The sequence below is a fragment of the Homo sapiens genome, chromosome 10 (assembly GCF_000001405.40).
Source record: "Homo sapiens chromosome 10, GRCh38.p14 Primary Assembly".
Taxonomy (NCBI): domain Eukaryota; kingdom Metazoa; phylum Chordata; class Mammalia; order Primates; family Hominidae; genus Homo; species Homo sapiens.
The window spans coordinates 123,799,101-123,827,044 of NC_000010.11; the positions used below are offsets into that span (position 1 = coordinate 123,799,101).

Below are 27,944 nucleotides of genomic sequence, written 5' to 3' on the forward strand. Positions count from 1 at the left end.
AGGATGAGACTCACCATGTCTCCAGATCCATTCTTAACAGTGACCCACGTGTGGCTGTCATTGCTCACCATGACCTTATAGGATGTCACCCAGTCACTCCTATGAGAAAATAAAACATCATTAGGACTACACACTTTAAAATGTTTGTTCTTCCATGAAGAGGTTTAGAAGTGAGGAGAGCAGGTGCCAGAGGCAGATGGCACTGGGTCAAACCCTGGCTCCAGGACATTTACAGCTCTGTGACCTCAGTCAGGTAACTAACTGACCCATCTATGCCACTATATATTCATCCATAATATGGGAATCATAAAAGCATCAACCTTAAAGAATTAATGTAAGCCTCCGTTTAATGCCCTTTAATCACTTAGAACAAGGCCTAGCCCCTAGTAATCACTAACCGTTGATCACAGATGTAAAGATATACAAATGTGTACGTAACTGTTTGCACTGAACACCTACATCACACCCAAGAAGCTCAGTGGAAAAATAATCTGGGTAAAGGTTGCAAACCGGTTTAAACATTTTGGTTAGGAAGCTGATTTGGGAATGTAACAAATGAGATTTTACCAATCACAAAAATAAAATGTTGAGTCTCTAAGAGATACTGAGTTTCTCCTTGGCTGTCACAGCCACACAGACAATCCCCACCCCAGGAAGAATCCAGTGATGGCTGGACCCAAATAAATACCCCCATCATCACACCCTACTGCACAGAAATTTCTGGGGGTAAATTAGCCATAATTTGACTTTCCAGAGTGGAGGTTAACCTGATAGCCTTGGCAAGAAAAGCGACCTACATCTTTTTTTCTCTCTGCCTCAGTTTTTTATAATATTAGTTGTTGAACAATATAGGAAAGTCTTCCTGAGTACACCCCCTCTTTTAATTTTTTAAATATTGGAACTAAGAAGCAATTTACTAGTTTTTTGGTTTTTTTTTTTTTTTTTTTTTTAGAAAATTCTGCCCATTGAAGTATTTGGAATCCTTTTCCTACTTGCCTGCTTGCCCTCAGGATTCAGATCTATCCAAATAAAGTTTTGAGTTTCCTGTCTGAATTTATACTGCCCAGTAGAGTTTATTTCAAAAGAACAGCTGGTTCTATGCATTCTGGTTCATCCGACTGACTTGTCATGAAAATGATTCTTAGGTGATTTTATACATGCTTGGAAACAAACCCTCATCTCACACCTTCTCTTCTTCTCCTCTCTCCTCCCCACCAGCTCTGTCTGAATACCCGTTAGAAGCCAGAATCGATCACACACCACATTCCTCCTCTGAGAGTCACCAGTTTGAGCCCAGGGCTGGGGAGGGAGATGCATTAGCATTGCCTTAACAAGAAAAGCACCTCGGCAACAGCTCCTTCCTTTGCCCTGGAAAATTATCCACACCCAAAATAGCAACCTGTTTCCCACACACAAATAATTTCCGAATGACTTGTAGCTGCCGTTCCTTTGCTGCCTGTTTTTCAGCTGATAAGGCCCGAGGGTGATACAGCAAGACAGACAACAGAGGCGGGAGCTGTATCCTGCCGAGAGAGAGGTGATGAATGTAGGAAACCCCTCGGTCAAGAGAAGCACAAGACAATAAGAGGGGAGTAAAGAGAAAAATAAAAAGAAGTTCTCCAAAGAAAAAGGAGAGGGCAGGGAAAAAAAGGAAATGAAAGCCAAGTCATAATTTCTCAAACTCAAAAAAAAAATAAGAATACCAATCCCCTACTTATGTTTGAATCGTAATTGTTTCTATGGCTCAGAACTATCTTCTGAACTGCAAAGCTACATCATATCCTCCTGCCTAGTTGACCCCTCCACTTAAAGTCTCTGCGACATCTCAAATTTAACTTGCTTTAAACGAACTGATTCACGCCTTCCGCTCTACACTCTGACGTGACAGTCCACCAGAGGCCCTGCCCCAAGAAAGGTACTGCCATTCACCCAGGGAGACCAAAATCCCAGTGTTAGCCTGGGTGTCCCACCTTCCCTTCCTCCCTGATACGGTTTGGCTGTGTCCTCACCCAAATTTCATTTTGAATTGTAGCTCCCATAATCCCCACATGTTGTTGGGGGGACCCAGTGGGAGGTAATTAAATCATGGGGGCAGGTTCTTCCCATCTCATTCTCATGATAGTGAATAAGTCTCACAAGACCTGACGGTTTTGTAAAGGGCAGTTTCCCTGCACACGCTCTCTTGCCTGCCGCCAGGTGAGACATGACTGCTCCTCTTTCGCTTTCCACCGTGATTGTGAGGCCTCCCCAGCCATGTGGAACTGTGAGTCCATTAAATCTCCTTTTCTTTATAAGTTACCTAGTCTCGGGTATTTCTCCATAGCAGTATGAAAACAGAATAACACATTCCCCTATATTGAATCCATCACCAAGTTCTGTCAATTTTAACTCCCGCATTTTCAAGAATGTATCCAACTCTCTCCACCTCCCCTGCCACCACCCCAGTTCACTCTCTCAGGCCCCCTGGCATCTAAATTGCTCCCCCATCTATCTTGCAGGCAAGAGCTTACTTTTCTAATGAAATATGATCATGTCATCCCTGCTTAAAATAGCTCTTATTTTAAGTATTCTTATATTAAATATTGTGCTATCTTAGTATTAACAAAATCCCCATCACGTTCTACGAGACCCTTGCTTGCCTTGCGTTCTCCGTGTTCTTTCTTTCAATTCCTAATACTGTTTATACTCTCTCTTGCCCCAGGGCCTTTGCACATACTGCTGCAGCTGTTTGAACTCCTCCTCTTCTCTCCTCCTCTGTCTGCCTTTAAATTATTCAGACCTCATACCAAGTAAAAAAGCTAGTCTTAACCCTTCAATCTAGCCAATTTCTTTCTTATATGCTTTCTTTCATAGTTTAATTCAGTTTGTAATTTCATACTCCTTTCTGGAATTACTTGATACTGTCGTTCTCTCCCACTGACGTATAAGCATCTCACAGATGGAGGAAGGAGGGCACATGGCACTTGGAGGACAGAAAGGATGCTGGTGCCCCAGGAGAGCAGAGGAAGGGACAGGGGAGCAGAGGCCAGGGCATGGTAGGCTTTTAGGCCATTTGATAGGAGTGGAACTTCCTCTGCCAGGCAGTAGGGAGCTACCCCTCTTGAAGTTCGCCAAGGGTGGTCAAAGTACCTGAAGACCAATTAGAAAGTATCCTCTACTTCCAAAAGTTCCACCATAATAGAATGCTTGCCAATCAGAGGCTGTCTTTGTTTTTTCCCTGTTTAGAAAACTAACTCCCCTTTCTACCGCCTTTGAACCACTGCCGAAATAAGCGTGATCACAGATGGGTCCTCTTGTCCTAGGTTTATAAAGGCTTTGTTCATTTTGTTTCAGACCTAGTTTCGTCTTTGATAATTCTTATCGTTGCTTATAATTATGCTTTATTCATTCTCACTGCGTTCTACTACTCTACTCTGAGAACAGACACCACAATTTATTTATCCATTTTATTGCTAATGGGGATTTGAGTAGTTTCCAGTTTGGATTATTAGGAAGAGTGCTTCTGTGAACATTCCTGCATGTATATTTTAGTGAATTTATACAAAATTCTGTTTGGTGTATAATTAGGAGTGGAATTGCTAGGTCATAGGGTCAGAGGGTAGACATGCTCATATACCTACGTTCAGCCGCATTATTTTCCAAATTAATTATACCTATTTGTACTCAGACCAGCAATAAACAAGAGTCTGGTTATTCCATGCTCTTATTGACACTTGTTATTATCTTCCTTTTTTATTTTAGCCATTCTTGATGGATGTATCCTTTTATCTCATTGTTGATTTATTTTAAGTTACTTGGTGACTAATGAAGTTCGATATTTTGTATGTTCATTGGGTATTTGAACACCATCTTTTGAGAAGTGCCTACTCAAGTTTTCCCCCTTTTTCAATTAAGTTGTCTGTCTTTCTCACATTGATTTATAGAGCTCTTTATACATTCTAGATATGAGTTGAATATATATATATATTGCAAACATCTCCTCCAATTTGTCTTCCTTTTCATCCTCTTTGTAGTACCCTTTTTTTTTTTTTTTTTTTTTTTTTTTTTTTTGAGACAGCGTTTTGCTCTGTCACCCAGACTGCAGCCTCCCAGGCTCAAGCAATTCACCCACCTCAGAGCCTCCCAAGTGGCTGGGACTACAGGCATGCACCACCATACCCAGCTAATCTTTGTATTTTGTTTGTTTGTTTTTGTAGAGATGGGGTTTTGCCATGTTGCCCAGGCTTGTCTCAAACTCCTGGGCTCAAGTGATCTACCCACCTTGGCCTCTCAGAGTGCTGGGATTATAGGTGTGTGCCACCATGCCCAGCCTGTGGTATCTTTTGATGACAAAAAATTCTTAATATAATCCAATCTTAGCCATTTTTTTCTTTATGGCTTTCAGTATTTTTGTTCTTTTCAATAAATTTTTGCCTACTCCAAGATGATAAAGATATTAACTGATGTTTCTTCTAAAAAACGTTATTGCTTTACCTTTCACATTTAAGATCTGCAATCCATTTGGAGTTGATTACCATATAGTGTGACGGGTCAAGATACATGGTTTTCTTCTGTTTTTTGTTTTTGTTTTTGTTTTTTTGAGACAGAGTCTCTCTCTGTCACTCAGGCTGGGGTGCAGTGATGCGATCTCGGCTCACTGCAACCTCTGCCTCCTGGGTTCAAGCGATTCTCCTGCCTCAGCTTCCTAAGTATCTGGGACTACAGGCACGTGCCACCACGCCCAGCTAATTTTTTGTATTTTTAGTAGAGAGGGGTTTCATCATGTTTGCCAAGATGGTCTCGATGTCCTGACCTCATGATCTGCCTGCCTCAGCCTCCCAAAGTGCTGGGATTTACAGGCATGAATCACTGCACCCAGCCCAAGATACATGGTTTTCTATATGGGCTTCCAGCTGACCTAGAACCATTTATATGGTTATTTTCCTATTGCACCAGAGTGGAAATTTGCTATAAATCATGTGACTGTATATATGTAGGTATGTTTCTGGATGCTCTATTCTGTTCTGTTGGTCTACTTCTTATCCTATCCTAAATCTGTCTTAATGTCTATTGTTTTATAATACATCCTTATATCTGATAGTATATGTTTTCTCACTTTGTTTTTGCTTTTCAAAGTTGCCTTCACTATTCTTAGATCTTTGCAGTCCTATATAAATTTTAAATTCAGCTTGTCAATTTCTAAAACAAAGCCTCTGGATTTTAATTGGGTTAATATTGAATATATACACCAATTTTGGGGGAACTGACCTCTTTACAGTATTAAATCTTCCAATCTATAAACATGGTATATGATCCTCTTTATTTAGGTCTTCTTTTATTTATCTTTTGCTAGCTTTATTCCTGGGTAGCTGATTTTTTAAATGATTTTACATGGTATCATTTTAAATTTTACTTCCTCCTTATTTGTTGCTGGTATGTAGACACATAGATGCTTTTTATATGTTGACTTTGTACCCAGCTACCTTGTTAATTTTTTAATTAGGTCCAATAGTTTGTGGGCTCCTTTGGATGTTTTTATGGATATGATGATATCCCAATGACAGTTCTGATTCTTTATTTCCAGTCATTAGGTCCTCTATTTCTTCTTCTTGTCTTATTATACTGGCTAAGATGTTCAGTCCAATGCTGAAAGAAGTGAATAACTGACATCCCAGCCTCATTCGTGAGATCCAAGGGAAGGTTTCTATATTTCACCACTGAGTAAGATGCTTCCTGTAGGACTTTTTCTACTTTTTTTCTTTTTTTGTTTGTTTTTATTTTAATCAAGTATGAGTTCATTCTTTTTCACATAACAACAGAGTCTGGATGTTTGATGCTGCTGGCACTTATTCAGCTAGTCGACTGTGTAAGAACTCAGTTTTCATACTCATTATCTCCAAGTTCTACGTGGATGTGGCAAGAGGACTTATTACACATTCATTTTACATACTTGTCATCTCAGAGTTCTAAGAGGACATCCATCTGCTTTCATTCTTCATATTGTCTCAGAGTTCTAAGAAAACATCAAGATGTTTTCATTTTCATATATATTGTCTTTAGGTTGTAACAGAGTTGTTTCAGCTCTGTATCATGTCAACATTCAAAAATATTAAATCAATTATAAATATTATAAATTATAAATTTTTAAAATGACTTATGTCCTTCCTGGTGCATTCTTTAAGTTTGATTTACGATTCTTTTTATATAGCTTCTTGAGGTCACTGATTGTCAGTTTTTCTTCTTTTCTAATATAGCATTTCAGGTTATAATGTTCCCTCTGAGCACTCTTTAGTTTCATGCCATAAATTTCGATAGGTCATATATTCTTTGCCATTTAGTTCAAAATATTAATTCTTATTGTGATTTATTCTTTGATTATGAACTATTTAGAAGTGTGTTGTTTAATGTCTAGGTACTAGATATTTTCCAGTTACTTTTTTATTACCGATTCCTAGTTTAATTCCGTTGTGGACAGAGAACATACTTTAAATCATGTCAGCCCTTTGGTTTCTCTTGAGGTTTCATTTGTGGCTCAGTATATGGTCAACTTTGGCAAATATTCTATGTGCACTTGAAAACAATATCGGCTCTGTAATTGTTGGATGCAATGTTCCATACAAATAATTTTGATCACTCAAAATTGATCACTGCCAATATTAAGATTGGAAAAAAAATCACAAAATAATCAGATTTTGATTACTAGTTTCTCTTTATTGACTTATTAGTTATACACTCACAATATTCTTTTCATAATTCTCTTAAGATTACAATATGCATCCTTGATTACTACAATCTAATTCAAATGATAATTTCTACTACTTCCATGGTAATGCCAGAACTTCACAACACTTCAAGTCCATTTACCCCTCCAGCTTTTGCATTATTTTGGAATTCATTTCCAATTCCATATGTATTTTAAATTTTATAAAATATTCCTACTACTGTTGTGTGTAGTTAATGATTATAAACCTACTCATTTATCCTTTCTGGTATGCTTCATTAATTTTGCATTTCCACGTTTCCATCTGAGATCATTTTCTTTCTGCTTGAAGAGCGCCTTTGCTATTTCTTTTAAACCAAGTATGCTGATAGTACGCTTTTTCAGTTTTTGTTGTCTGAATATGGCTTCTTCATTTCATCATTTTTGAATGATATTTTTGTTGGGAATTCTAGATTGATGTTTATTTTCTTTCAGCACTTAAAAATTTTGATTTTATTGGCTTGTGAGGCATTGCTTTTCTGTATAAACACACACATGTTGAAACTACTGTTGTGGCATTGAGTAAACGTGCAATAAGAGTATGAGTAGAAAAATGAGTGTCAGCCATTTTAGCTTGAATCCAGCTTTGTTGTTTACTAACTACATAAGCTTGGCAAGCTACCTAGTCTTTGAAAATAATAAAGTTATCTACATGGAGATTATATATTAATGTATGAATTGAGAGATGTTATAGTATACTGGTTAATACCTCAGGCTTTGACATTAAGAAGGCTGTATTAGTCCATTCTCACATTGCTATAAAGATCCTACCCGAGACTAGGTAATTTTTAAAGGAAAGATGTTTAGTTGGCTCACAGTTCTGCATGGCTGGGGAGGCATCAAGAAACTTACAATCATGGTGGAAAGCAAAGGGGAACAAGGCACATCTTACGTGGCGGCAGGAGACAGAGAGAGAGTACAGGAGAAACTGCCACTTATGAAACCATCAGATTTCATGACAACTCACTATCATGAGAACAGCATGGGGGAAACTGCCCCCATGATCCGGTCACCTCCCACCACGTCCCTCCCCTACACGTAGGGATTACAATTCAAGATGAGATTTGGGCAGGGACACAGAGCCAAACCATATCAAAGACCAAACTGAAATTCTAGTTCTTCCACTTACTAGCTGCAACCCATGTGATAGCAGCGTGTCTACTGAGCCCCAGCTGTAAGATAAGGTAACAACTCTACCTCCTTGTATAGTGAGTAGGGATTGAATGGGGTAATGCAAGTAGTCTGAGCACAGTGCCTGGCACGTAGTAACTGTTCCATAAATATGAGCTGTTAATAAGAACACAGAAATTATACACTGTCAGATGCCATACCAACATACAGGATTACTATTAAAGTTGAACTGGGACATAATTCAGATGCTCCCTCCAAACACTTCCAGGGTGTGGATCTTCACATTTACCCCTTTGTGCCCTAGTAATGGAAATGTTCTGTCATTGCCATAAGGAAATTAATAATTAATTAAATCTTCATTAAAATAATGCAGGCTGATAATCCAGGGTGATAGAAGAGATACTTGCCCATCTGTATGATGTTGTGGGAGGACTGAATTGTGTCTTAAAGCTCTACCTACATGAAAAGGTTAAAGCATTATGAGATGTGTGGTTAAGTCCTGCTCCTCTCCCTGCAGCTACTAGCTTCTGGGAATACAAAGGTAACTTATACAACATTCCTTTACTCAAGGTTTTTACAGGTTGATGATGAAGACAAGGAAGTAATCTGGAAATTTCAAGAGAGTGTGATCAAGTGCTGTGATGAGACAAGTACAGCAAGTCGTGGGAGGGCAGAGGAAGTCTGCGTGGCTTAGATGGAAAAGGAGGAGGGGCAGGTTCGTGAATGAACATAGTCCTGATCTAACATAAAAGCTGATTATGTTATTCTTTTGTGACAGGCAAATCCATTGTTATTAAAGAGGCTCAGAAGACTGAAGCTATAATGTCACTGTTTCCTGGTCTTCTAATCTTCAGGGAAAGTTTAAAAACCATGGCACTGTTGTGGCTTTTTTCCACTTTCCTCAAATAGATTATTCCACATCACAAAACCACTTTGACATTTAATTCTCTGCAACTGGAGGTTACGAACTCCAAGCAATGTAGTCCAAATAAAGAAAGGTTTGTGTCAAAGATTTCTTGACTGCGGAATGAGGAGAGGCTTCTATGGGCTGCAGCCATCTCCCTCACTTAAAAAATTTTAAAACAAAACAAAATACCTTTGTATGATATTACCACATTGCCCTCCAATCCAGCCTTCCTTCAAATCAGAAAAAACAGAGGAGGCAGGCCATAATAGAAAAAGCTGGCATATATTTAGACATTTTACTATATGATGCTAATATGGTTTAATTAAAAACAAAGAATACCTATCATTAACAAAAGGAAAGATTAATTGCTTATAGAGCCTTCTACTAGTGTACAACTAGTTTCTGGTGACATCAAAACAAATGCTTAAAACCATCAGTGGGTTTGTGAGCAAGTAAAGAAACTCTCCAATTGGGCAAACAAAAACAACAACAACAACAACAACAACAACAACAACCAGCTGTTAGCTGAAAAAAAGAATAGTGAGTAATGCACAAACACAAAAGCCAGGGTCGCCCCAGGGAAAATGCATCTAACAGTGCCAGGATCAGAGTACTAAGCCTGAGGACCATCGAAAGCTAGGGAAGCTGAACTTGAGACTTTTCCAGGACTCTCAAAAGTGGCTAAAAGATCTCAGCACAGTGGTATCCACTGGTTCCTAACAGAAGCACACATGAATCCCCTCAAAAGAAAAGAATCTTCAACATAGGCTCTTGGAGGTTTCAGCAGGTACAATTAAGTAATTACTGAGTCAAGAACAATTATTTATACAATTTTTAAAAAATCATTAAACCCATAAGAAAATATTCTCCATGAGAAAAAGGCAGCATAAACAAAAAGCAACAAACCTAGGTCCCAAAGAACTTCTGATTTTGTAATTATCACATTTTTAAGTTTTCCTTTAGCAAAGATTTATATAGTACCTAGCACATCAGATGCCTTTGGAAGCACTTCACAAATACTGTAATCCCCCCTTATCCATGGTTTCCTTTTCTACAGACTGTAGTAACTTTAAGTCTGAAAATATTAAATGGAAAATTCCAGAAACGAACAATTCACAAGTTTTAAATTGCACCATTTTGAGTAGCATGGTGAAATAGCACGGCATCCTACATCATCCTGCTCAGGACGTGAATCACCCCTTTGTCTAGCACATCCATGCTGTAGAGGCTTCCTGCCCATTAGTCACTTAGTGGCCTTCTCAGTTATCAGATCGACTGACATGATATGGCAGTGCTTATAACCTTTATTTTATTTAAGAACGGCCCCAAAGTGCAAGAAGTAGGGATGCTGGCAATTCAGACATATGAAAGAGAAGCCATAAAGTGTTTCCTTTAAATGAAACGGTGATTCTCAACTTAATAATGAAAGAAGAAAAAATAGGGTATGCTAAGATTGCTAAGATCTATAGTAAGAACCAATCTGCTGTCAGTGAAATTGTGAAGAACAAAAAAGAAATTGATGCTGGTTTTGCTGTTGCACCTCAAACTGCAAAAGTTAGTCATAGTGCATGATAAGTACTTAGTGAAGATAGAAAAGGCAGTAATTTGTGTTTGTTATGTGCCAGGTCCCACTCTAAGATATATAAATAGATATAAATACACTCATGTAAATAGATATAGATACACTCACATATATACATATATAGATATAGATAACATACACACACACATACATATACATAAATTGACTTAAGTATCACTACAATGCTATGAGGTAGGTATTATTATCTCCATTTTACAGATGAAGAACCTGAGACACATAGGTATCCTATTATTGTTAAGGAAGTATTAACTTATTAAAAATTAATAAGATATTTCTTTCAATTTTGCTTAGTATACTTGGTAAAATTCCAGGAGTAAAAACTGAAATAACAGAGTGTTTTATGCAAAATCAGCATAATGGAAAAACCAAGCAAGGTGGGAAAACTCAGATTATATAAAAGAAAACTAAAAAGAATAACAGAGAGAAAGCAGAAATAAATCAAATTATAAAAGCTATCACCACAAATATAAATAGATTAGTTAATAGATCATTAAGTTGGATTAAAAATTACAAATATACTGTTCATAGGAAACAGACCCAAAATGTAAGAAAGTTGAAATTAATGGAAGAACTATCCATAAAAGCAAATACTAAAAGAAAACTAAGGTAGCTATAATAATAACAGACAAAATATATTTTAAGACTAAAAGCATTATTAGAGATAAAGACAGTCATTACATTATCATAAAAGATTCAGTTTGCCAGGAATAAAATAACAATTTTAGATTGTATGTACCTAATACAGGAGCTCCAAAAATATAAGCAAAAAGTAAAATAAAATAAAAATCAGTATAAGTAAAAACTGACAAATCCATCAGCATAGAAGAGTACTAATATTCCTCTCTCAATTATTATTTTAAAAAGGCAACAAAAATAGCAAAAATATACAAGATTTTAATAAAATAAAAACCTTTATGTAATGAATATACATAGAACTCAGAACACAAAAGTTAGAGAATATTCATTTCTTAAGCATACATACAACATTTATCAAACTATGTAATTATCCATAAAGGTAAAAACATTTCTAAAATAGAATTAATAAGAGAGTTCAGCAAGATGGCTGGACATAAGCCAATACACAAAAAATTAATTACATTTCTATACACCAGCTGCCAAAAATAAGGTACTTACACTTACAAATAAAATAAAGATGTGCAAGATATTTATGGAGGAAACTTTAAATTTTTATTGAATAACATTTTAAAAGACATACATAAGTGGGGATCTATACCATGTTCATTGATAGGAAGAAACTGGAAATGTGTCAATTCTTTCCAAAAATCTCAATTGCATTTTCAAGAAACTTCACAAACTGATTCTAAAATGTATAGGAAAGAATAAAGCCCAAAATAGCCAAGATACTTTATGAGAAAAAGAAACAGTAGAGTATTGTCCTATCAAGATATTGAAGCTTATTATTATAAAGCTTTAAGACACTGTGATAATGGTGTATGAATAGACAAATTTATAAATGTAAGAGAATTGAGAGCCCAGAAACAGACCCATGCATATATAAAACCTGAAAGAGATCTCTAGCATATCGATTTTAAATAAATGAACTATTAAATAAATGATCTCAAGGTAACTGAATATTAATATAGAAAAAAACTAAAACTGGACCCTATACCTAACATTTTTCACAAAATCATTTTTTTTTTTCTTTTTTCTTTTTTTTTTTATTATAATTTAAGTTCTAGGGTACATGTGCACAACATGCAGGTTTGTTATATATGTATACATGTGCCATGTTGGTGTGCTGCACCCATTAACTCGTCATTTACATTAGGTATATCTCCTAATGCTATCCCTCCCGCCTCCCCTCACCCCACGACAGGCCCTGGTGTGTGATGTTCTGCTTCCTGTGTCCAAGTGTTCTCATTGTTCAATTCCCACCTATGAGTGAGAACATGTGGTGTTTGGTTTTTTGTCCTTGCAATAGTTTGCAGAGAATGATGCTGACTGGATTAGCTACTTAAATGTGACAAGCGAAACTTAAAACTTAAAAAACCTGAATAACAAATAGAAGAATAAGTTCATAACCATGGAGTATGGAAGAAATTTATATATAAAACACAACCAGCCAAATCATAAAAGACAAATAAACTGAAGTACATTAAAATTTAAAACTTTTGCTTATTAAAAAACATCATCAAGAAAGCAGTAAAAGAAATTCTAAGCTGAGAGAATCTATTTTGAGCATATTTAGCTGACAATAGATTAATATTGAGAATATATTTTTAAAATTCTGTAAATCAATGAGACAAAGAAAAAGCACACAATGTAAATGGAGAAACATGACAAATATTTCATAGCAAAGGTAACCAAACGGCAAATAAACATAGGAAAGGAAGTTCAACCCTGTTAGTGGTTACGGAAATGCAAGTTTCTCTAAGGACATCAGTGAAAGATAATGCTTTACACCTTTTACATTGAAAAGTAAGAATAGCAATGCCAAATGTTGGTAAAAATGTTTCACAATAAAAACCTTAAAGAAGACTATGACAATCAACTTAGACAGCAAATGTCATTGTCCTGTTAAACTACCATTTGCATACCTTCCAACCCAGCATTATATTCCTATGTATATATCATGGGGACTGCTTTGTACACATGATCCAGGAGACATATACAAGAATGCTAATAGCAGCATTATTCTTAAGAGAAAATTGCAATAATGACAACAGCAACAATAAAAAATCAAAAAGAGGACAATCTAATCTTCATCAAAGAATAGATAAATTGCAGTATACCTGCAAGGTTAAATAGCATTACAAATATATGAACTAAACCCACAGGTAACAACATGGATGATCCTGTGAAGCATAATGTTGAGTGGAAAAAGACAATTCCAAAAGCTACATTCAGTATAAAATCATTTTTATAAAGCCTGAACCAAGAAAAATATTTTTTTCATATGTAATACATATGTGACAAGAGTAGTTTTTAAAGGTAGGAGATTAATTGGTCCCCGATAAGGAGAATGATTCCACTTCTGGGAAGAAGCAGGGGAATCTGGAAAAGGCACAGAGATTATTTCCATCAATCAGAGACTACACTAACAGGACAATATTCTAGCCCCGGGGTCCCCAACCCCTGGACCATGAACCAGTACTGGTCTGTTGCCTGTTAGGAACTGGGCCACACAGCAGAAGGTGAGTGAGCATTACCAACTGAGCTCGACCTACTGTCAGATCAGCGGTGGCATTAGGGCATTAGATTCTCACAGGAGCATGAACCCTATTGTGAACTGTGCCCATGAGGGATCTAGGTTGCATGCTCCTTATGAGAATCTAATGCGTGATGATCTGAAGTGGAACAGTTTCATCCTAAAACCACCCCTTCCCCATCCCCCATCCCCACCATCTGTATAAAAACTCTTCCATGAAACCGGTCCCTGGTGCCAAAAAGGTTGGGGACTGCTGTTCTAGCCCTTTAGTTGCATGGCAGGTTCATGAGCATTGGTTTTATTGTAACGCTTAATACCTTACACATATATTATATCCATTCTTTTGTATCCATCAAATATTACATAATGATAAAGCTAAAATATATTTATTTGAATGTTGTACAATAGGCCTACATACAGGAAAACGCCACAACTACCTTTTGTGAAACAGACGTGTGTAAAGATGCCACATTCATCTCTTAAAGATGTTTTATAAGTAAAAAAAATAAGATCTTTGCTCTTGATTTCTTTAGGTATAATTTCTTCTTTCCTTGAAAGAGCAACTGTATTAACATTTTCTAATAACAATTCATCTGGCACTTCAGTTTGCAAAATGCTTCCATACACATGATCTTACTTTGTCTAAGAAGAAGCCAAGTTCATCATCAAGGATGTGGTAATTCACTAGGTTGGTAGAAAGAAAGGATCAGATCACTTGTTTCCTATTTCTCCATACCTGGATGCTCTGTTCCCCTATTCTTTGGTCTTCATCATGCTTCTCTTTTCCCTAGGTCCTAGGTATAGGATTTCAGTGTTCTCAGATCAATTGCCAACCTTTAGGGGTCCTTAAGCAAGTTATCTGGAGCTGCACATGATGCGTAGTAATTGTTCTTGGTTAAAAATTCTTACATCTTAAACCTAAAATTAGCACTTCTCCATCACTTGCATATAATCTCCCTTTCTCAAAACACAGAGGCCACATAATCAATCAGAATTTAAGAAATTGAACATTGAAAGCATAAACTAAACATGAAATCTAGATCTTAGTGAATTTTTCTAATGACTGTAATGTCAGTTGTCTTCAATAATTAGAGATGAGACTTTTGGAAGATGTGCCATACATGGTGGTGCCCAACAGATATCATAATCTGCGTTAATTATGTCTACCTGGAAACATTGTTTTGTGTGCTTAGCTCTATTGTGGGAGTTATTTTTCCACTTAGACCCTTGTACCTGATCACCTTTGGAGCAGATGTGTTGTGCAGCATGACTGTGTACCTTGGCCACAGTGGAATACCTAAAGGTGCACCTGACAGAAACTAGGCCAATCACAGTACCTTGATAATGTGATCACAGTTGATTGGCCTACACTAGACACCTGATCCAATACATTCTTTTCTGGGATTTTGGATTTGAGACTAAGTGGTAGCTGCAGTTATCAGTCTTGACCATTGGGTGCTATGATGGTTAATACTGAGTGTCAACTTGATCGGCTTGAAGGATGCAAAGTATTGAACCTGGGCATGTCTGTGAGGGTATTGCCAAAGGAGATTAACATCTGAGTCAGTAGGCTTGGAAAGACAGACCCACCCTTAATCTGGATGGGCACCATCTAATCAGGGGCCAATGCAGCTAGAATATAAAGCAGGCAGAAAAATGTGAAAAGACCAGACTGGCCTAGCCTCCCAGCCTACATCTTTCTACTGTGCTGGATGCTTCCTGCCCTCGAATATCAGACTCCAAGTTCTTCAGTTTTGGGACTCAGACTGGCTTTCCTTGATCCTCAGCTTGCAGACGGCCTATTGTGGGACACTGTGATCATGTGAGTTAATACTTAATAAACTCCCCTTTATATATCTCTCTATCCTATTAGTTCTGTCCCTCTAGAGAACCCTGACTAATACAGATTTTGGTACTAGGAGTGGTTCTAGAGGAGCAGAATATTAACGATGGAGTTCTTTCATTGGTTTGGGGGTTTCTGGAGTTGGCTGCTTAATATGATTAGACCCAAAAATGCTAAGGACTCTACTTCTAATAGTATGGACAACACTGATAGTCCTTGTTGTGAACTGTTTAGAGAATTATGCAAAATTTCCAGGTGCAGTGGTTCATGCCTGTAATCCCAGCAATTTGGGAGGCTGAGGTGGACAGATCACCTGAGGTCAGGAGTTCAAGACCAACTTGGCCAACATAGCAAAACCCCATCTCTACTAAAAAATACAAAAATTAGCTGGGTGTGGTGGTGTACACCTGTAGTCCCAGCTACTCGGCAGGTTGAGCTGGGAGGATCACTTGAACCTGGAGGGTGGAGGTTGCAGTGATCCAAGATTGCACCACTGCACTCCAGCCTGGGCTACAGAGTGGGACCTCGTCTAAAAAAGAAAAAAGATTTATGTAAAATAAATACATTTGACACTCCTAATTCATCACTCATGACAGGCAAGGAGTTTAGTGACTCTATACATAATACCTTTGACCATATGTGGAGAACCAAGGGACATAATGAATCTGCTTGGTTGCTCCTAAGTTCAGTGGGCAAAGTGATGAAAGAAAATGATGAACTCAGGGATTCTATCTCCCAGCTTCACAAGCTGATACTGAGCCTCAAATCTGCTAAGTTTGCCCTGAGTGACAGCCTTATCCCTGGTAGAGAAAGAGCTGAAATTGTGGAAAAACAGACACAAGCTCTCATCATGTGAGTGGCTGACCTGCAATGAAAGGTGCATACACAGCCTCATCAGATGTTTAGTGTTAAAGTGAGGGCATTCATTGGAAAAGAATGGGATCCTGCAACTTGGAATGGGACGTTTTGGAGGACCCTGATGAAGCTGGGGACACTGAGTTTGTAAACTCTGATGAACCTTTTTTGCCAGAAGGAACAGCTTCCCCATACCCAGTAGTGGCAACATCCCCTCCCCAGCCCATGCTGCCATCAGCCTTTCAACCTTTGTCTGAGGAGATAAACCCTGCGCTGCCTGAGGCAACAGTGATGGCTTCCCCTGAGGCAATTGCCAGGCAAGGTGATGTTGATTCTCCTCAGGAGCCACCCCCAACACCCCTGTTTCCTTCTAGACAGATAATTAAAGTCCTGGCAGGCCCCTAGAGGTAAGGTTAAGAGTGTGACCCATGAGGAGGTACACCAGACTCGAAAATACTGCTTGAGTTTTCTAATTTATATACACAGAAATCTGAAGAACAGGCATGGGAATGCATAGTAAGGGTGTGGGATAATGGTGGAAGGAATGTAGAGTTGGATCAGACTGAATTTATTGATTTGGGCCACTAAGTGGGGACTCTGTGTTTAATGCTGCAGCTCAGGGAGTTAAAAAAGTTCTAACAGTTTATTTGCTTGGTTAGCTGAAATATGGATTAGAAGATGGCCCACTGTGAGAGAGGTGGAAATGTCTGATCTCCCTTGGTCTAGTGTAGAGGAAGGGATCCAAAGGCTTAGGGAGATTGGGATGGTGGAGTGGATTAGTCACTTTAGACCTACTCATCCCAGCTAGGAGGGTCCAGAAGATATACCCTTTACTAATGCCATGCAAAATAGATTTGTGAGGGCAGCAACTGCATCTTTGAAGCTCCCTGGATTCATCCTGTGGTCACTTCCCCAGTGCCAGAATGCATAATTGGCATAGACATACTTAGAAGCTGGCAGAACCCCCACATTGGCTCCCTGGCTGGTAGGGTGAGGGCTATTATGGTGAGAAAGGCCAAATGGAAGCCTTTAGAGCTGCCTCTACCTAGAAAAATAATAAATCAAAAACAGTATCGCATTCCTGGAGGGATTGCAGAGATTAGCGCCGCCATCAAGGGCTTGAAAGGTAGTGATTTCCACCACATCCCCATTCAACTCTCCCATTTGGCCTGTGCAGAAGACAGATGGATCTTGGGGAATGACAGTGGATTATCATAAGCTTAACCAAGTGGTGACTCCAATTGCAGCTGCTGTACCAGATGTGGTTTCATTCCTTGAGCAAATTAACACATCTCCTGGCAACTGGTATGCAGCCATTGACTTGGCAAATGCCTTTTTCTCCATTCCTGTCCATAAGGCCCACCAGAAGCAATTTGTCTTCAGCTGGCAAGGCCAGCAATATACCTTTACTGTCCTACATCAGGGGTATATTAACTCTCCGGCTTTGTATCATAATCTTATTTGGAGAGATCTTGATCGCTTTTCACTTCCACAAGATATCACATTGATCCATTACATTGATGACATGACACTGATTGGATCCAGTGAGCAAGACGTAGCAAACACACTGGACTTATTGGTGAGACATTTGCTTGCCAGAGGATAGGGAATAAATTCGACTAAAATTCAGGGAACTTCTACCTCAGAAAAATTTCTAGGGGTCCAGTGGTGTGGGACCTGTCAAGGTATTCCTTCTAAGGTAAAGGATAAGTTGCTGCATTTGGCCCCTCCTACAACCAAGAAAGAGGCACAATGCCTAGTGGGCCTATCTGAATTTTGGAAGCAACACATTCCTCATTTGGGTGTGTTACTCCAGCCCATGTATTGAATGACCCAAAAGGCTGCCATTTTTTAGTGGGATCCAGAACAGGAGAAGGCTCTGCAACAGGTCTAGGCTGCTGGGAAAGCTGCTGTGCCACTTGGGCCATATGACCCAGCAGATCCAATGGTGCTTGAGGCGTCAGCAGAAGATAGGCATGCTGTCTGGAGCCTTTGGCAGGCCCTCATAAGTAAATCACAGCAGAGGCCTCTAGGATTTTGGAGCAAGGCCCTGCCATCTTCTGCAAATAATGACTCTCCTTTTGAGAGACAGCACTTGGCCTGTTACTGGGCTTTGGTGTAAACTGAACATTTGTCTATGGGTCATCAAGTCACCATGCGACCTCAACTGTCTATCATGAACTAGGTGCTTTCTGACCCATCTAGTCATAAAGTGGGTCATCCATAGCAGCATTCATCATCAAATAGAAGTGGTATATACGTAATTGGGCTTGGGCAGCTCCTAAAGACACAAGTAAGTTACATGAGGAAGTGGCTCAAATGCCCGTGGTCTCCACTCCTGCCACCCTGCCTTCTCTCCCCCAGACTGCATCGATAGCCTCATGGGGAGTTCCCTATCATCAGTTAACAGAGGAAGAGAAGACTTGGGCCTGGTTCCCAGATGGTTTTGGATGATATGCAGGCACCACCCGAAAGTAGACAGCTACAGCACGACAGCACCTTTCTAGGACATCCCTGAAGGACAGCACTGAAGGGAAATCTTCCCAGTGGGCAGAACTTTGAGCAGTGTACCTGGTTGTGCACTTTGCCTGTAAGGAGAAATGGCCAGGTGTGCAATTACATACTGATACATGGGCTGTAGCCAATGGTTTGGCTGGATGGTCAGGGACTTGAAAGAAGCATGATTAGAAAGTTGGTGAAGAGAGGAAGAAATTTCGGGAGGAGGTATGTGGATGGACCTCTCTGAGTAGTCAAAAACTGTGAAGATATTTGTATCCTATGTGAGTGTTCACCAACAGGTGACCTCAGCAGAGGAGGATTTTAATAATCAAGTGGATAGGATGACCCATTCTGTGGACATCACTCAGCATCTTTCCCCAGCCACCCCTGTAATCGCCCAATGGGCCCGTGAACAAAGTAGCCATGGGGGCAGGGATGGAGGTTACGCATGGGCTCAGCAACATGTACTCCCACTCACCAAGGCTGACCTGGCTATGGCCACTGCTGAGTACCCAATTTGCCAGCAGCAGAGACCAACACTAAGCCCTCAATATGGCACCATTCCTCAGGGTGATCAGCCAGCTACCAGGCAGCAGGTTGATTATATTGGACCTCTTTCATCATGGAAAGGGCAGAGGTTCGTCCTCACTGGAGTACATGCTTATTGTGGATATGGGTTTGCCTATCCTGCACGCAATGCTTCTGCCAAGACTACCATCTGTGGACTCACGGAATGCCTTATCCACTGTCACGGTATTCTGCACAGCATTGCCTCTGACCAAGGCACTCACTTTACAGCTAAAGAAGTGTGGCAGTGGGCTCCTGCTCATGGAATTCACTGGTCTTACCATGTTCCCCATCATCCTGAAGCAGTTGGATTGATAGAATGGTGGAATGGCCTTTTGAAGTCACAGTTACAACGCCAACTCAGTGACAATACTTTGCAGGGCTGGGGCAAAGTTCTCCAGAAGGCCATGTATGCTCTGAATCAGCCTCCAATATATGGTACTGTTTCTCCCATAGCCAGGATTCACAGGTCCAGGAATCAAGGGGTGGAAGTGGAAGTGGCACCACTCACCATCACCCCTAGTGATCCACTAGCAAAATTTTCGCTTCCTGTTCCCACGACATTACGTTCTGCTGGCCTAGAGGTCTTAGCTCCAGAGGGAGGAATGCTGCCACCAGGAGACACAACAATTCCATTAAACTGGAAGTTAAAATTGCCACCTAGATGCTTTGGGCTCCTCCTACCTTTAAGTCAACAGGCTAAGAAGGGAGTTACAGTGTTGGCTGGGGTGATTGACCCAGACTATCAAGATGAAATCAGTCTACCATTCCACAAAGGAAATAAGGGAGAGTATGCATGGACTACGGGAGATCCATTAGGTTGCCTCTTAACTGTGTATTACTGTGCCCTGTGATTAGGGTCAATGGGAAGCTACAACAGCCCAATCCAGGCAGGACTACAAGTGGGCCAGACCCTTCAGGAATGAAGGTTTGGGTCACTCCACCAGGAAAAAAACATGACCTGCTGGGGTGCTTGCTGAAGGCAAAGGGAATACAGAATGGGTAATAGAAGAAGGTAGTCATTAATACCATCTACGACCATGTGACCAGCTGCAGAAACAAGATTGTAATTATCATGAGTATTTCCTCCTTCTTTTGTTAAAAACATGCTTGTGCATGTTTACACTTGTACTAAGAAAATACCTTCATTTTATTTCCTTTTTCCTTTATGATATGACATGAGATTTATTGACTTCATATCAGCATTTAAGTATTGTTAACTTTATGTAATAGTATTTGGGCTGGGGATTGGTGCATTTCCGGTTGTACAAAGGATAGTGGTATTATGTTAGCTGTAATTATGACCTCATTATTGTCTTTATTTGAAGATTATATATGATATCAGGAGATGTGTATGGGTTCAAATTGACAAGAGATGGGCTTGTGATAGCTAATATTGAGTGTCAACTTGATTGGCTTGAAGGATGCAAAGTATTGATCCTGGGCATGTCTGTGAGGATGTTGCCAAAGGAGATTAACATCTGAGTCAGTGGGCTGGAAAAGGCAGACCCACCCTTAATCTGGGTGGGCACCATCTAATGAGCTGCCAGCATGGCTAGAATATAAAGCAGGCAGAAAAACATGAAAAGACCAGACTGGCCTAGCCTCCCAGCCTACATCTTTCTCCTGTGCTGGATGCTCCCTGCCCTCGAACATCAGACTCCAAGTTCTTCAGTTTTGGGACTCGGACTGGCTTTCCTTGCTCCTCAGCTTGTAGACAGCCCATTGTGGGACCTTGTGATCATGTGAGTTAATACTTAATAAAGCCCTTTTTTTATATATCTGTATTTTCTTAGTTCTGCCCCTCTAGAGAACCCTGACTAATACAGGTGCTGATGACACTCATCCCACATCATGTGTCTGGAGAAGCAGAGGCCACTCTACAGAGACAGAAGAGTGAGAGAGCAGCACAGAGAAGCTCATAGAAGAGACCCTCTGAGAGAGTCCCATCAGAGCTCAGACCCCAGGTTCCAGAGGAAGAGCTTGAGCTCATCTCCATTCCTGCCCCTAAACTCACTGACACACATGTCTGCTCACTAGTGTCCCACTTTGGGCTTTATGCTTGCTGGACTCTTGTTTTGGCCTATGAAGGCCTCTGAGAGCTGTATGAATTCCCTATGACTGCTGTAACAAATTATCAAAAATACAATGGCTTAAAACAACATAAATACCTTCTGTATCAGTGCTGCAGGCTAGAATCTAACATAGCTCTCCCTGGGCTATAGTCAAGTTGTGAGCATGGCTGGTTCCTTTCTGGAGGCTCCAGAGGATAATCTGTTTCCCTGCCTTTTCCAGCTTCCAGAGGCCACCCACATTCCCTGGCTGGTGGCCACCTTTATCCATCTTCAAAGCCAGCAACAGTGCATGTCTCTAACCATTCTTCACTAGCTGTGGCTTCCTCTGACCATAGCAGTGCCCCTTTTAACCCATGTGATGAGATTGGACTCACGTGGATAATTCAGGCTCTTCTCTCCATCAAGATCTTTAACTGAATCACATCTAAAAAGTCGCTTTTGCCATGTAAGGTGACATATTCACAGGTTCTGAAGATTAGTATGTGAATGTCCTATGAGAGGATTTCTGCCTACAACAAGAACCCCACTCTGATTCTGGCTCTACTCCAAGACTCATTCCAGATCCCTTTCTATTCTGACCCAGGCTTGACGATCCAGTCTTGTCCTGCCACCTGGGTCCCAACAGGACAAAACAATGGTTCCCTAATTCCATTCAACAAATAGAAAGCTTAGGGCACAGTAAGAAAGCCACAGCCACAAAAATTAAGTCTCTGTATACACTCACAAACACCAGTCTGTCTCCCAAAGTGGACATAGAGTTCAAATTTCCTTAAGAAAATTCCTCCCACTTGACAAATCAATGTTTGACTTCATGGTCCACTTACCATAATTAGGGTTTCCTGGTACTTCTCAAAACATTCAGCTCCTTCTACACAATGTTAGAAGTTGCATTCCTGGAAGAGGCACATACTATGTTTTACCCTAGTAAGCCTGACTGGCAAGAACTGACAGGTCATAGGATCGGCCACTGGAGACTTCTGAAAACTCTTCTGATTCCAGCCCAAGGCTCAATATGCTCTTCTGAGCATTCTGCCAACCACGTAAGTGTGTTCCCACAGCACCGTGGAATGTCAATTTCCTCACATGTCAGGAAGGCAGGTATACCAATTGTATTTGACTAGGAAGGGACACTATGTCTGCATGTCCAACAATGGCTGTCAAATGGGGGTAATGTTGTCCTCCAGGGGACATTTGACAATGTCTGGAGACAATGGGTAAGGTGCTACAACTGGGGACATCTAGTGGGTGGAGGCCAAGGATGCTGCTAAAAACCTCCTAAAATGCATTAGACAGACTCTCATAGCAAAGAATTATCTGTCCCATTGTGCCAATTGTGCTAAGTTTGGGAAACCCATTCTAAACAATTCAAATAACAAGATGTTAATTCTCCATTTGATTTGCTCAAAACTGTTGAGGAAAGGGTAAATGTCATTGGCAATTTATGAGTGAGGAAACTAGAGTACAGACTTCCCAGGGACTTATAACATTTTAAACACCAGAATAATTATTAGATAAGACAGGTTTCTTCAACACATTCCTGTTGATTTGCCTAAAAGAGCAGGAAGGATTCAGAACCAGATGTGTGACCAATGAAAAAGGTAACAGCTTAAACAGTTTTCCACAATGGAGCTCAGCTACCTGAAAGACACATGCCACAAATAGCTGTTGAATAAACAGAAATTGGTTTCTCCAAAGTATCTGAACACAATTTATCCTCAAGTGTCCTGGACAAAGTTAACCTGTTCCTTTACTTAACAAAACTTTTCTTTATAGACAGTGCAAACTTCAGCTCAAATCTTTCTCATACTAGCATATAAGCCACTCTTTCTCTTCACCCTTGCACCAAATACTTGTCAATACCAGGTAGAGGGAGTGTGCCAGGCACTGGGGTACAGTGAATCCCAAAGCAAACCTAGAGGCTAGCTGCAGGGAGCCTACAGTCTAGTGGAGAACATAGAGATTGCATACTAACTATAAAATTAATGAATGAACTGCAATTGTGATATTGTTCAAAGGAGAAAATACAGAGTGCTTGTAAATCGGGGGTGAGGGCTAGCTTAATCTAGGGCGAGTTGGGGGAGGCACTTCTCGGGAGGTGATATTTGAGCTAAAGAGTCAAGATGAACTAACTAGGTGAGGATTGGGTGGCATTTCATTTTAAGCCAGAAAAAAATTTATACAAGAGAATATGCAAATAATAATTTCAAAAAAGTAGGCAGCAGAAAATGGACCTGAAAATAATAATAATAATAATAATAATAATAGAATTTTCCAGAATTGAAAAACTTTATCGAGAAGGAATAACTCAAAGCTTTAGAAGCTTGCCTACCCTCAGACCTCTACTCTGTAGCACTGAAGACAATGGAAAGTATTGAAAAATGCCTCACAATTTCCAGAGATGACAGATATGGGGTTTCTTTTTGGTATAATAAAAATGTTCTAAAATTGATTGCATTGATGATTGCACAACCTTAGGAATATATTAAAAACTGCTGAGTTGTACACATTAAATGGCTGAGCTATATGGTAGGGGAATTATATCTCAATAAAGCTGTTAAAAATTCTTGGGGAAAATTATTTCCAAAATACAACCAAGAGTGATATCAACAAAAATGCATTTTCAGACGTTCAAGAAATCTAAAATTTTACCTCCCAAGCTCCATTTCCAGAAGATATGTACCATCGAAATAAAGGAAAAACAGAGAGCTGTAGGAGCTAAGAAACAGATTTAACTCAGGAGAGAGGTGAAAAGAATTCTAAGATGAATGGTGAATGGACAAGAGCCATGTAGAGGCCTGGGAACCAAATCAGTTCAGAGGCCAGCAGACACCAGATGGCTCCAGGAGGGATATCTCAGGAAGAAAATGAAAAAGTGGATTGCTAATATGTATGGATATATTAAGAGGAGATTTTTGCGTCTGTCAGAAAGCTTTGGAATTAACTAGTAAGAGGTACCTAGAAAACCATTAAAAATAAGTGATTATTACCTCCAGTAAAAGAAAAAAGGTTGCACAGGGAAGGAAATTTAACTAGAGTACACTATTTGACCTGGCTTGTAAACAACAATTCAATAATAACTATTGTGTAAAAAATCAACACTGATTTAACAAAACTTGGCAATATAACTGTTTTGGAAGGATAAGAAAATAAAGAGAGACAGAGATAGAGAGAAAGAGACAAAATGAGAAAGAGAAAAAAAGTGTGTGTGTTAGAGGTTGGTCAATAAGAGACAAATTCTCTCTTTTCATAGTGGAATGTCAGAAGATGATAACTAATTTAAAAGAATCTGGGGAAAGAGTACTAAAAGCATTTTATTCCAAAATATTGAGATTAAGAAAAAGAAAACAGAAGAAACAGCTAATGGGTTTGCAATTGTTGTCTTGGGAGACCAGAATTGAAACTGAGAAAAGTATGAGACATGGGCCACCATGTTTTATTAAAAGTAGCATTATTTGGCCTTTTAAACTACAAAATAATTTTTAATTAAAAAATCAATCCACTTCACTCCCTTGGCACGTTTTCAGCTTTTCCACTCATTTTAGGGTCATTTTCTTCCAATGCATGCAAGGATTGTGGCCAATTTATACCTCTGTTACACATTCAGAGCAGGACTAAAAAGCAAAATTTCTTTTTCTTCTTAAGAGTTCATATTTTACTATGTTTCTCTGGAGAGAAAGTCAGTGGAAGTTTATGTGAATAAAATTGGAAAGCATTTTGCTTTTTACTTTCCATTGCCTGGCTTGTGTTCTAAATGTATTGCCAATTGACCACTCTGCTGGCTGTGCTAATGTTATTTTTCAGATGGACTTTAAAGAAAAACTGGAGATCAGAATGTTATTAGAAAAGAAGAAAAATATTGACTTCTGTGAAAGTTAGCAAATATTTCATCTGTCAAAAATGCTTACAAAAATCATAGGCTCAACCATTCCTTCAACCTGGATTGAAGCTAACACAGCATAAAAGATATTCCCACAGAGAGAGATCTTCATTGAAAATAAAGAAGCTTCCTAGCAGGCATGAAAGATGGTACTGAGTGAGCAAAATCCACACCATGAGAGTTGTATATTCTCAAGACCAGCTGGCGTGCTGAGAGCAAGCAGGGAGATTTGCTGCAGTCAACCTGTAGTGCTGGATGGCATCCTGGAAAGATCAGGGACTTTCAAGCCAGGCAGAACTGGGCTCAAAGACTTGCTCTGCCACATCCTAACTATGCCACCTCCAGTGGTTGTGGTTCTCTGTAGCAATAAGTTGATAAATCCTAACTTCAAGGGATGTGGTAGGGAACACAGTTAACAATACTTACTATTACAGTAGCTCAACACATGGTAGTTATTGTCATCATGACCATTTTGTAATGAAATATGACATCTCCCCGCCCTGAATGACACACAGGGACTCAGGCATTCAACTGACTGCCATTTTGCCACTTCCAGTGGGAAGGCAAGGCCAATGTACAGAAACATGCACCTGGAGGAATCATGTCTTTTCCTGTTTGAAAGTCTACCTTTCTCTCAAATCAAAATTACCCAACATGGCTTAGAAATTGGACACTTACCGGAAATTCCGAAAAGACCAGAAACTTCTGGAGGATTCTGAGGGGAAAACATTTACCTTCTGGATCTAAACTGGCCACAATTCTGAATGAGCCTCATACTGTGGACAATCTAGTGGCTAGATTACATGTAGGCCTCACACCATGTGCTCTATCCACACATACAGTGTGTATGTGTGTATGTACTCATTAGAGAAGAGACAGAGAGGAAGGGGGCAGGGTGAAATGCCCGTATATAAGGCCAAAGTCATCTTGGGTCATGCATGATGAGTTTCCCAGCACGTTAATGTTTGCACTAACAAGTATCAGACAGCAAATGGAAGAAGACATGCTAACTCAGCTGAATGCAGCAGGCCGTGGAGGAATACGGCACAGACCTGATGCCTGTTCTCCCCATCTTCTTCTCTCTCCTCACTTTGCCATGTGTTCTCCCTTGGAAATATTTACTGTACAGTTAGTTACCGCCTTTGTGCAAGAGAAACAAACACAAGACAATGAACCAATGAACCTTCATCTCTGGCATCACAGCACTTGAACTAGCGTTCACAGCTGCTAAACCTCACCTTGCCTTCCACTGATGATGCCCATCTGTCCTTGTCTCCATAAGCATCACACAGCAGTCTCAACCCTTCCAAGCTACCTTCACCTTTTGTTAAAAAAAGAGTTCTCTATAAATTTGAATATAGAGTATAACACATCTTTAACTACCTTAATATTTTTATTAAGATTATTGTCACTTTTAGTAGTGATCTGGTTCCCAGTTGCTTGGGTTTTTTGAGGTCTTCCCAAAGAAGCTCCCTTACTTTCAGTGCACAAATTTTGCAGAATGTGAGGTTTTAAAGACTGGTATATTACCACAGAAACAGCTCTTCTGGGTGAGAAGAGCTCCATGGTTTTCCTCACACCCCTCAGCTGGCTCTGATGTGAACATCTCCTGTCATAATCACTTTCCATTGCACAGCATCATGTAGTTCCAGCAATCAGTACAAACATCTACTGGATGGTGACGATGGGCCAGACACAATTCTAAACTACTATACTTGTTTTATTTCATTTAATCAACACTATGAGGTATCATTATTATTCCTGCTTTACAGATAAGGAAACTGAAGCACATGAAATCAAGTAACTTGCTCTCAGTCACACAGAAAGTGGCAAACTTCTTCACTGCTAAGCTTACTCCCCCTTCAATGACAGGAAGACACCACCTGGCAGGATTTTCATCTCCCCTGCAAGATTATGCTTCTGAGCACGGAAGGTTAAGAGCACTTCCCAGTTCACTCACAGGTAGAATGAGGCTCCAAACCCAGGCATCCTGGTCACTATACTGTGCTACTAACAGCAGAAGAAAGGGAAGGGAAGTTGAAAGATATCAAAGCTAATAAATAAGTAGTGGAGGTACAGGAACATTTAACAATGCAAAGGTAAACACTAAGAATGGTAATGAATCAGCTAAAATTGGAAGGAGGAGTAGAGGAAGGGGACAGGGTATGAAGGATTACACAAATTTAACCATTGTTCATAATAGGATGTTAATAGTATCTGAAGAAATACTGTATTGAGCATTATATAAAATTATAGTCATAATTTTATGACTATAAAATTAGAGAGAGGCCTTCTTAACTATCAGAGGAAACACAGTCCTATGCTGATACACAAGAAACACACAAAGCGATTCAGAAAAGTTGAAATCGACTTACGGACACACAGAAAGCATGCCAAGAATGCATTTGTAAAACCTGAAGGTGGAATTCAGGGCCAAAAGCATCAAGTCAGACAAATAATGGTATTACATTATTCCAAAAGACACAGCTCACAATAAGGCATTAAACAGTTATGAATATCTATGCACTAAAACATAGCATCGACATTAATGAAAAAAATTATAGAAAAATACAGGGAGGGATAAAGACAAACTCTCTAGACTGTAATGGGTCATTAGTATGAAGGAAACTAAATATCATAATTAATAAGGTAAATCTAATTAATAGACTTGAAGTTCTG

At 39.5% G+C, this 27,944-nt stretch overlaps 1 protein-coding gene across 6 annotated transcripts in view; it reads right to left on the reverse strand.

Moving 5' to 3' along the window:
• The window catches only part of CPXM2 (carboxypeptidase X, M14 family member 2), a 198,466-nt gene that overhangs the window by 53,462 nt on the left and 117,060 nt on the right, over positions 1 to 27,944 (reverse strand). For all 6 annotated transcript variants that reach the window (XM_017015673.2, NM_198148.3, XM_011539285.3 and 3 more), the window contains one exon: positions 15 to 99. In XM_017015673.2, coding sequence (XP_016871162.1) covers positions 15 to 99 — 85 coding nt within the window. The remainder of the gene's footprint in view (positions 1 to 14; positions 100 to 27,944) is intronic.